We start from the raw sequence: 12,011 nt of genomic DNA, 5'->3' as shown, positions 1-12,011 counted from the left end.
AGAAAATTTTACTTCTTTTTTTCCTGATTTGTATGCCTTTTATTTCTTCTTCTTGCTTAATTGCTCTGGCTAGGACTTCCAGGAATATATTAAGTGGAAATGGTGAGAGTGGGACAATATGTTTAATTTTGTAAGAAACCGCCAAACTGTTTTTCAAAGTGGCTTTATCACTTTGCATTCCTATCAGCAGTGAATTAGAGTTTTTATTACTCCACATTCTTGCCAGCATTTGGTGTTGTCAGTGTCCTGGAATTTGGCCATTCTAATAGATGTGTAGTGGTATCTCATTACTGTTTTACTTTGCATCTCCCTTATGACTTATGCTTATTTTCATATGCTTATTTTCTATCTGTATATATGTTTAAGTGAATTATCTGTTAAGGTCATTGGCCTATTTTTAAAAATGAGGCTATTTATTTATAGTTGAGTTTTAAGAATCCTTCATATGTTTTGGATAATATCGTTTATCGGATATGCCTTTTACAAATATTGTCTCCCAGTCTGTGTCTTGTTTTTTCACTCTCTTGATGTCTTTATTTTTTAAAAGACATATATTAGCCAAACATATTTGTAATAGTTTAAACAGTGTAAACCTAACATAATAAAATTGAAATTCTTGCAACTGATTAATTTAAAAATAATATTATATTCATTCTGGTAAACAAAGAAAGCATTTTGTCTATTTGATTCCAAAATAATTAGTTGATTAATACTTGAATCTAAAAGAGTAATAAACGTTTGGTCCATAATTATCTTTTTTAAAATTTAAGAATTTGAATTTTTAATTACTTTGTATTTTTATAAGTAATATGAAATGAAGCCTAGTTATTAAAAAATTAAAACTTTACTACCCCAGTTTGGGTTCTTGTCTCATCCTCCCCCCAAAATAATAATTGCTATGGTATTGGTATGTTTCCTTTAGACCTTTTCCTAGGCTCTCATATACACATATGCACTCAGAGAAAATACAAAGTGTTGTTGTGTGCTCGTTTTAAAAATATATATGATATCATTATATATATCATCCTGCCACTTCTGTTTTTTATTTTATCATATATTCTGGCAATTTTTCAAGCTATTATATATAGATTCATCCCACATTGTTCACTCAAATACATGTAGAGCCATGATCTCAGTCTTCTCAAAATGTAGCAATTATTTCTGTTTCTAGAGGCCATAGAGTTTTCTTTCACTGTAAGTCATATTGATTAAAATAATCCTTATAAGTTATTTTCTGGAAGATAGCCTTTAGGCTACAACCAAAAAGAAAAATGATCAGCAATGCCTACGTAAACTACATATTCTCCATTAAATGATTTAATATAAGACATTCCCCACATCACTATTTGAATTGGTTCTCATACTTCCATTCTGTGGGTGGTATACATCTTTTGTATTTTAAAATATTGATATTTGCAATTTATTTTAATTTTAATCATTCCGTCATAGTGTCAGATTTTTTAAAACTCCTATAGATGAATGAAATATGTATTCTCCTGGTTTCACAGATCCCTTCCCTACCTTTGATGCAGTTTTTTTGTTTACTCAGATGTAAAGTACCTGTCTTCTCTTTGACTTGTTTTCAAGTTTCAGTCTTTCTGCTTCTAGCTGTATAATTATAATGCTGATGCCTGTTCAGGAAGACTTGATAACATAAAATCTGGATAAGATCACATCCAGACTGTTTTTTAGCAGTTCATTTAAAATTTTTTAAATTAGTGAATAAAAATTATGTATATTTGTGGTGTATAACATGATGTTTTGAAATACATACACATTATGCAGTGGCTAAATGAAACTAACATATGCACTACCTCACATACTTATTTTTTTGTGGTAAGAACACTTAATATCTACTCTCAGCAATTTTCAAGTACACAGTACATTATTATTAACTATAGTTACCAAGTTATGCAATAGATTTCTTGTATTTATTCCTCCTGTCAAAGTAAAATTTTGAATCTTTTGACCAGCATCTCCTGAATCCTGTCCCTGCCCCCTAGCCCCTGGTAACCACCACTCCACTCTGTGTCCGAGTTAGATTCTTTTGGATTTTACATACAAGTGAGATCATGTGGTATTTGTATTTCTGTGCATGGCTTATTTCACATAACATAATGTCTTCTAGGCTTATCCATCTTGCTGCAAATGACAGAATTTTCTGTTTTTTTTTTTGTTGTTGTTGTTGTTTGTTTGTTTGTTTGACAGGGTCTCGCTCTGTCACCCAGGCTGGAGTGTAGCAGCATGCTCACAGCTCACCACAACCTCGACTTCTTGGGCTCAAGCAATTCTCCCACCTCAGTCTCCCGAGTAGCTGGAACTACAGGCATGCGCCACCACGCCTGGCTAATTTTTGTATGTTTTGTAGAGATGAGATTTTGCCATGTTGCCCAGGCTGGTCTTGAACTCCTGGACTCAAACCAGCCACCAGCCACCCACCTCAGCCTCCCAAAATGTTGCAATTATAGGCATGACTCGTTGCACCCTGCAGATTGTTTTCTTTTTAAAGGCTGAATAGTATTCCATTGCATATATACTACATTTTCTTTATCCATTTGGCCATTGGTAGACATTTAGGGTGATTCCATATCTTGGCTATTATGAATAATGGTGCAGTGAACATGAGAGTACATATATCTCTTTGATATACTGATTTCATTTCCCTTGGATATATACACAGTAGTGGGATTGCTGATTATATGATAGTTCTATTTTCAATTTTTTAAGGAACCTCCAGCTGTTTTTCATGATAGCTGTATCAATTTATATTTCTACCAGCAGCATACAAGGATTCCCCTTTTCTCTACATCTTTGTCATCAAGATTACCTGTAGCTTTCAATTCCATGTTCTATGGATCTAAATCCCTCCCTAAGAATTCTGTGAATGACTGGTTTGCCAGGCTCAAATGATCCTCCTACCTCAGCCTCCCAAGTAGCTGGGAATACAGGGATGTGCCACCTTGCCCAGCTAACTTTTATATTTTTTGTAGAAACGGGTTTCACTATGTTGCCCAGGCTGATGTTGAACTCCTGGGCTCAAGCAATTGGCTCATCTGTGCCTCCCAAAGTGCTGGGATTACAGGCGTGAGCCACTGTGCTTAGCCCTACTTTGCCTTTAACCATTTTGATTCTGCATTTAATTGTCCAGACTTACGTCTGGTCAATCTGTGCTTAACTAACTACTCTTTTTATTTATACAACACATCCACATTGTAGTTACGTATTTTTGTGATTTTCTTGGTTAATAGTGTTAAGTTCTGAGATGTGAGCCCTGTGAGGAGGGCAGGGATGCTCACCATTCTATTACCAATTCCTAGCACAGTACCTGGCACAGAGTAGGCTCTTTAAGAGACTCAGAATGTAAGGAAGGAAAAGTTGAAGAGTACTTGGGGTTTGTGATGAGGAGAAGATAGCCTTGAAAATAAAGGGGAACACTGGGCACAGTGGCTTACACCTATAATTCCAGCACTGTGGGAGGTCAAGGCAGGTGGATTGCCTGAACTCAGGAGTTTGAGACCAGCCTGGGCAACATGGTGAAACCCCATCTCTACAAAAATTACAAAAACTAGCTGGGTGGGGTGGCACACACCTGTGATTCCAGTTACTGCGGAGGCTGAGTTGGGAAGATCACCTGAGTTGGGGAGGTCAAGGCTGCAGTGAGCCATCATTGCACAACTGCACTCAGCCTGGGTGACAGAGTGAGACATTCCTCAAATTTTTTTCAAAAAAGAAAGAAACAAAGGGGAGATAAGAGAGAGAGAAAGAAAGAGAGAGAGATAAAGAGAGAGAAAGAAAATGATGAGAGAGAAAGACTATGTCTTCCTTGAAGACAAGGAGGAGAAGAAATGAGTGGAAAAACATAATGAGACTCAGGTGAATGAAGAAGTTTGCCAGGTGGTCTCATCTCAGTTTCCCCAGAGTGGTAGAAAGTGTATGGATTTGGTACTTACATAAAATTGGATTTGAATCCTATATCTTCTCTTTTAAGGGGATTATTAGACAACTTACTTAATCTTGCTCACTCTCGGTTTTCACATGTATAAATTAATGATGATAATACCCCACAAAATGGTTGGTAATGGTTAAATAAGATAACAAAAGCAGCATTGCATGGTAGTTATAGCATGGAACTGGAAGTAGACAGATTTGGACAGACTCTTCCCTCTGCTACTTACTAGCTGAGTGATCTTGGGTAAGTTACTTAAAGTCTTTAATTTTGAAAAGAAGTGGTAGGAAGAAAAATAAGGAATAAATTTATTAATCAAATAAATTATAAGCTCTCCAGAGAGAGATAAAAATATAGAGGATGATATCAATACAAATATATTTGTTTATAGCTATGCGCCAGGATTCAAACCCAGGCTATCTGCTTCTAAGACCTGGGTTCTAAATTTCTAGCTATACTTACTCTTTTAAACAAAATAATATAATAGAAGAATATGGAGTTGGGACTCTTAATTATATTTAAAAAATAATGTTCTGTCAGCAATCAAATTATTAAGGAGGTAAGTATACATTGAGTGGAACCTTAAAAAAGGAAAAATATTTTCTATTTCAATGGAGTGGCATCCTGAAAAAACAATATCCTATTGATTGTCTTTCATGGGATTAATGCCATGAAACACACTGAAATGCTGTTTTAACATAGCTATTGTGCATCGGAAGAGGTAAAAACTTATTTCAGTTGGTCTTAAACAAATCCAGTGCCATTTCACAGGACATTTGATTTACTTTAAAAAATTCTTGCCTTTTTATTGATTCAGTGACAAGGTTAGTGAAAACTTTAGTAGGTTGGAATAGTAGGACAGTTGTTTCAGGCAAAATCAAGAGACCTGCCTATAGGTGTCAGATGTCAGAACAGACAACGGTTTGAGTTCAGATGAGCTTGAAGAATCGGAAGTCTTAAAAGTCAAGCATGTAAAATTCCAAATGCTGAGATAGTTTGAGGAATGAACCTGTAGAGCAGAAGCTAGAGTGAACTTAATTCTACAATATAGGCTATTTACTAACATGAAATCACAGCTAGAACATGGCAAAAAAGCCAGAACTGCCAAAAATCACGGCAGTTTTTTCTTGCAGTACTTACAGCAAACAGATTTGAAATGTAATCAGTTTTTTCCTATTGTCACAATGCTGGAGACATATTCACTGTTTCTATCACATCTTCTAATTACATTAGAGCAATTAAAGAGCAATTCTATTGCCTGCATAGTCTTTTCTTAATGATGCCACACTGGAAGTACATTTCCAAAAAGGTTTTAAATGGTTTAATTTTTTTTTTTTTTTTTTTGTGAGACGGAGTCTTGCTCTGTAGTCTAGGCTGGAGTACACTGGTGTGATCTCGGCTCACTGCAACTTCTGCCTCCTGGGTCCCGGTTCAAGCAATTCTCCTGCCTCAATCTCCCAAGTAGCTGGGATTACAGACACATGCCACCATGCCTAGCTAATTTTTGTATTTTTAGTAGAGACAGTGTTTCACCATGTTGGCCAGGCTGGTCTTGAACTCCTAACCTTGTGATCCGCCCACCTCAACCTCCCAAAATGCTGGGATTACAGGTGTGAGCCACTGCACCTGGCCTAAATGGTTTAATTTTTGTTATGAAACATTGTAGTGGAAAGTTTGTACTAAATGAGTGGGCCAAAGAAAGATGTGGTAAAAGTGGCAAATGAAATAAGGAGGAAGACTTAGATGAATGAAGCCTTAACTGATGGCCAGCCCCATTGTAGGGATTATGGTTTCATCAAAAATAATATCTACTGGGTAAAGAAAAAGAAATGTTAAATTTGCTTTTTGTAAAGTTAATTTCCTTTCATGTTTTTAAAAATTTTTTTGCCCATGTAAGACAGAAAAATGGAGAGACTCAATAGAGGCATAGAAAAAAAGGAAAAAAAGGCCGGCCGTGATGGCTCACACCTGTAATCCCAGCACTTTGGGAGGCCGAGGCAGGCGGATCATGTGGTCAAGAGATCGAGACCATCCTGGCCAACATGGTGAAACCCTCTCTCTACTAAAAATATAAAAATTAGCTGGATGTGGTGACGTGTACCTGTAGTCCCAGCTACTTGGGAGGCTGAGGCAAGAGAGTCGCTTGAATTTGGGGGTAGAGGTTGCAGTGAGCCGAGATCGCGCCACTGCACTCAAGCCTGGCAACAGAGTGAGACTCCATCTAAAAAACAAAAAAAGAAAAGAAAAAAAGAAAAATAGGAAGAAAACAGTCAGGAAAGGAAGAATTCTCCTGCATGCTTTTAAGATATTTAACCAATTTTATATCAGATCTATATTCTAGTTTACATTTTACATTATATAAGGGGCCTTCAAAAAGTTCATGAAGAATGTGTATTATAAAAAACTATGCATGGATTTCAACATTTTTTCCACCAAAATAAACTCATACTAACTTGTTGTAACATGTCAGAATGGGATTTATTTTGAGGCACTGAGAAAGATAAAACATCAGTTTGAAGAACCTCTATCAGCAATGTGAATTCTGATAAAAATGAAGCAAGAACAAACATCAAATATGTGGTGAAGACTGGGCAAAAGAATGGTAAAATCATTGATGCTTTATAAAAGGTTTATAGGGACAATGCCTCAAAGAAATCAGCAGTTTACAAGTGGGTAACTCATTTTAGTAAGGGATGAGATGATGTCAAAGATGAAGCTCAAGGTGGCAGAACATCCACATCAATTTGTGGGAAAAAAATTAATCTTGTTCATGTCTTAATTGAAAAGGACTGACAATTAACAGCACAAACAATAGCCAACACCATAGACATCTCAATTGCTTCAGCTTATACAGTTCTGACTAAAATATTAAAGTTGAGCCAACTTTCTACTTGATGAGTGTCAAAAATGTTGCTCCGGGAGAAGCTGCAGATAAGAGCAGAGCTTTCAATAGAAATTTTTTAAACAATTGATATCAAGATCCTGAAGCATCTCTCCAAAGAAATGTAAAAGGAGATGGAACATGGCTTTACCACTACGATCCCTAAGGCACAGCACAGTCAAAGCAATGGCTACCAAGAGTTGGAAGTAATCGAGTCGAAGCAAAATTGGACCAGTCAAGAGCAAAGGTCATGGTAATAGTGTTTGGGATTCTCAAGACATTTTGTCTGTTAACTTGCTGGGAGGCCAAAGAATGATAACTACTTATTATAAGAGTGTTTTAAGAAAGTTGGCCAAAGCGTTAGCAGAAAAATGCTTAGGAAAGCTTCACCAGAGAGTCCTTCTCCATCACAATAATACTTGTGCTCATTCCTCTTATTAAACAAGGGCAATTTTGCAAGATTTGCATAGGAAATTATTAGGCTTCCATGTTACAGTCCCGATTTGGCTCCTTCTGACTCCTTTTTGTTTCCTAATCTTAAAAAAATTGTAAAGGGCACCTATTTTTCTTCAGTTAATAATGTAAAAAAGACTGCATTGACATAGTTGAATTCCCAGAACCTTCAGTTCTTTAGAGGTAGACTAAATAGCTGGTATCATCACTTGCATAAATTTCTTGAACTTGATGGAGCTTACGTTGAGAAATAAAGTTTACATTTTTTATTTTTATATTTTAACTCCACTTTTTACGTGAACTTTTTGGAGTACCCTCACATTTTATTTTTTATTTATTTATTTTTTAATTATACTTTAAGTTTTAGGGTATATGTGTACAACATGCAGGTTAGTTACATATGTATACATGTGCCATGTTGGTGTGCTGCACCCATTAACTCGTCATTTAACATTAGGTATATCTCCTAATGCTATCCCTCCCCCCTCCTCCCACCCCACAACAGGCCCCAGTGTGTGATGTTCCCCTTCCTGTGTCCATGTGTTCTCATTGTTCAATTCCCACCTATGAGTGAGAGCATGCGGTGTTTGGTTTTTTGTCCTTGCGATAGTTTGCTGACAATGATGGTTTCCAGCTTCATCCATGTCCCTACAAAGGACATGAACTCATCATTTTTTATGGCTGCATAGTATTCCATGGTGTATATGTGCCACATTTTCTTAATCCAGTCTACAATTGTTGGACATTTGGGTTGGTTCCACGTCTTTGCTATTGTGAATAGTGCCGCAATAAACATACATGTGCATGTGTTTTTATAGCAGCATGTTTTATAATCCTTTGGGTATATACCCAGTAATGGGATGGCTGGGTCAAATGGTATTTGTAGTTCTAGATCCCTGAGGAATCACCACACTGACTTCCATGATGGTTGAACTAGTTTACAGTTCCACCAACAGTGTAAAAGTGTTCCTGTTTCTCCATATCCTCTCCAGCACCTGTTGTTTCTTGAATTTTTAATGATCGCCATTCTAACTGGTGTGAGATGGCATCTCATTGTGGTTTTGATTTGCATTTCTCTGATGGCCAGTGATGATGAGCATTTTTTCATGTGTCTTTTGGCTGCATAAATGTCTTCTTTTGAGAAGTGTCTGTTCATATCCTTTGCCCAGTTGTTGATGGGGTTGTTTGTTTTTTTCTTGTAAATGTGTTGGAGTTCATTGTAGATTCTGGATATTAGCCCTTTGTTACATGAGTAGATTGCAAAAATTTTCTCCCATTCTGTAGGTTGCCTGTTCACTCTGATGGTAGTTTCTTTTGCTGTGCAGAAGCTCTTTAGTTTAATTAGATCCCATTTGTCAATTTTGACTTTTGTTGCCATTGCTTTTGGTGTTTTAGACATGAAGTCCTTGCCCATGCCTATGTCCTGAATGGTATTGCCTAGGTTTTCTTCTAGGGTTTTTATGGTTTTAGGTCTAACATGTAAGTCTTTAATCCTTCTTGAATTAATTTTTGTATAAGGTGTAAGGAAGGGATCCAGTTTCAGCTTTCTACATATGGCTAGCCCGTTTTCCCAGCACCATTTATTAAATAGGGAATCCTTTCCCCATTGCTTGTTTTTCTCAGGTTTGTCAAAGATCAGATGGTTGTAGATTGGCTTTATTTCTGAGGCCTCTGTTCTGTTCCATTGGTCTATATCTCTGTTTTGGTACCAGTACCATGCTGTTTTGGTTACTGTAGCCTTGTGGTGTAGTTTAAAGTCAGGTAGCGTGATGCCTCCAGCTTTATTCTTTTGGCTTAGGATTGACTTGCTGATGTGGGCTCTTTTTTGGTTCCATATGAACTTTAAAGTAGTTTTTTCCAATTCTGTGAAGAAAGTCATTGGTAGCTTGATGGGGATGGCATTGAATCTATAAATTACCTTGGGCAGTATGGCCATTTTCACGATATTGATTCTTCCTACCCATGAGCATGGAAAGTTCTTCCATTTGTTTGTATCCTCTTTTATTTCATTGAGCAGTGGTTTGTAGTTCTCCTTGAAGAGGTCCTTCACATCCCTTGTAAGTTGGATTCCTAGGTATTTTATTCTCTTTGTAGCAATTGTGAATGGGAGTTCACTCATGACTCAGGATTAAGAAACTCACTCAAAACCCCTCACATTTTATAGTAAGGGAACATTACACAGTGCTGTTTTTTTAAAAAAAATGTTTTAAAACTATATCTTTTTCTATAATAATTTTTTCTTCCTAGCTTGACTCTGCAGTTGTGGCTTTTAAAATTGTATCCTGGCTACTTTCAATCCCCAAATATTTATCAGAATGTAATGTAACACAATGATAAGTATAAGATTTTATATATAAACACACACACATATACTTATTTACATACTTAAACACCTCTACCTATATAAAATACATATACATATCTATAATCTTATACATAAGATTATATACTAGGAAGATCTTATAATATCTTCACAGTGTGTTTGTGTGTAGATTCACACTCAGAATTTCACACTCTGAAGATCATTATGTGATTGCATTTCATGTTAAGGGTTCTTCAGAGAGCTTTTATTCTACACTATCTCTTTCTTCAATTCTCACATTATGCCTAATCTTGGAAAGACTTCCTCTCTTGGAGTATTTTAATAAAAGACCCTTAGAGCAGCATATACCTTCCATCTTTTCTTAAGAGGCTGTAGATTATCTCGACTTCTATTACCTGAAGATATGTCTAATGGAAACCTTAAAAATACCGTGTCAGGTTCTAATAGCTGGAAATAGCTGGAAGTTATAATAGATCAACAGGAAGAAGCAGTTTTGTTTTAAATTAAATAATTAAAATTCAGAATTTACTTTGATATGTTAGTGTTAAAGTTAACTAAAGTTTATGATTTAAAGTGAGGCATAATGAAAATAATATTAAATCTGGTATTGAAAGACATGGATACTTGTCTGAACGTCACTGTTTATTTGCTCTATGACCTTGGGTAAGACAGCCTTTCAGCCTCACTCATCATCAGCTGAAATGTGTAGTTATTAATACTTTGCTGCCTACTTCCTCATGGTGCTGTCAGGATGAGATACATGAAAATATTGTATAAACAGTGCAGTCTATAAAAGTTACTATTGTAAATAACAGTTAATATGCTCCAGTCAGTGTATTAAGCATTTATATCATTCTTACAACAGTTTTACAACACACGCAACATTAATATTCTGCTTTTATAGATCAAGAGGTTGAGGCTCAGCAAGTGTATGACACCTGCATGAGGGAGAAATGTAAGATTTGAATCCAGGTCTGTCTGAGGCTAGAACAAAAGCTCATAATTGCATCACTTTCATTATTTATCAGAATAATAATCACTACATAGCATTATGTGTGAACCAGCCGAGGCAGTAAAACACAGTTCTCTTTATTATCACATCTGAATTCTAAATGCAAAAACAAAATAACATTTGTTTTTCATAAAAGTGAAATGCCATGGAGCTCTAACCATACAAATGTGTTCTTCTCTTAGAATTTAATTGTCCTGAATCCACTCACAGTAACTGAGGAGGAAATACGACCATCACTAGAGAAACGCCTTGAAGCCATTATCAGTGGGGCTGCTCTGCTGGCGGATTCTTCATGTACGAGGGACTTACACCGAGAGCGGATTATCGCAGAATGCAACGCCATTCGCCAGGCTCTTCAGGATCTGCTTTCAGAGTACATGAACAACGTAGGTGACTGGTTTGCCTTCCCATCCCTAGCCCCTCTTCCCTTGTACTTTGAATATAGGCTGAGATACTTTCCGTATACAAAATAGGGTAAATTACAAATGAGTATGTGATTTTACATAGGTTGATTTTCTAAGTGAGTTCTGCTTGGTTATTTACAGGGAACAACAACCCTGGGAATTTCTAGGGATGAGATCAGAACCAGAAGGGTATTTACAGGTGATTGTTTTGTTTGTGGAAGTATCTCACTATTAGTTGAAGAAGGGAATCAGGATTGGAGAAAGGAAACTAGAGTTGCACATCAATTTAAGAAATATAAAGAAGATAAAGAGAGGGGCAGATTGCTCAGGATCAAGTTAGTGAATAATGAAAGGCCATTAGAAGTTAGTATCCAATAACAGTGATATTACAGGGATCATGAGCTATGTTTGAAGGCGTGTAAAGAGCCCATGCAGGTTGTTATGTTTTTTTGTTGTTGTTGTTTTATGGAGATAGACAGGGTCTTGATCTGTTGCCCAGGCTCAAGTGCAGTTGGGCAATCACAGCTAATGGCAGCCTCGAACTCCTGGGCTCATATGATCCTTCTACCTCAGCCTCCCAAGTAGCTTGGACTACAGGTGTGTTACCATGCCCAGCTAATTTTTGTAGTTTTTGTAGAGATGGGGTTTTGCCATAATGCCCAGACTGGTGTCAAACTACTGGGCTCAAGTGACCCTCCCACCTTGGCCTCCCAAAGTGCTGGGATTACAGGCACCCACGTAGTTTTGGCAGCTCTTAATCTTTTTCAAATGTGACAGTGTCTAGTTTTTTTTTTTTTTTTTTTTGAAGTTTTAGCTATCAGAAATATTGTAAATGTCTAAATTTAGGGCAAAAATATTTGTTTCAAAGTCCATTTTGTTTCACTGTATTTATACATATATATGAAATACATATCTCTTCATCTATGGAATGTCTGTAACTATTGTTCCCCTCAAATCTTGGTAATATTTATAAAGTGAAGAGAAAAATCTTG

The 12,011-nt window shown here is 36.5% G+C and overlaps 1 protein-coding gene across 9 annotated transcripts in view; it reads left to right on the top strand.

The window, feature by feature from the left end:
• Positions 1-12,011, top strand: part of CTNNA3 (catenin alpha 3) — a 1,851,072-nt gene that overhangs the window by 572,277 nt on the left and 1,266,784 nt on the right. For all 9 annotated transcript variants that reach the window (XM_047425124.1, NM_013266.4, XM_017016152.2 and 6 more), the window contains one exon: positions 10,798-11,001. In XM_047425124.1, coding sequence (XP_047281080.1) covers positions 10,798-11,001 — 204 coding nt within the window. The remainder of the gene's footprint in view (positions 1-10,797; positions 11,002-12,011) is intronic.

Source organism: Homo sapiens, chromosome 10 (genome assembly GCF_000001405.40).
Source record: "Homo sapiens chromosome 10, GRCh38.p14 Primary Assembly".
Classification (NCBI taxonomy): Eukaryota; Metazoa; Chordata; class Mammalia; order Primates; family Hominidae; genus Homo; species Homo sapiens.
This window is presented reverse-complemented; position numbering and strand designations above follow the sequence as displayed.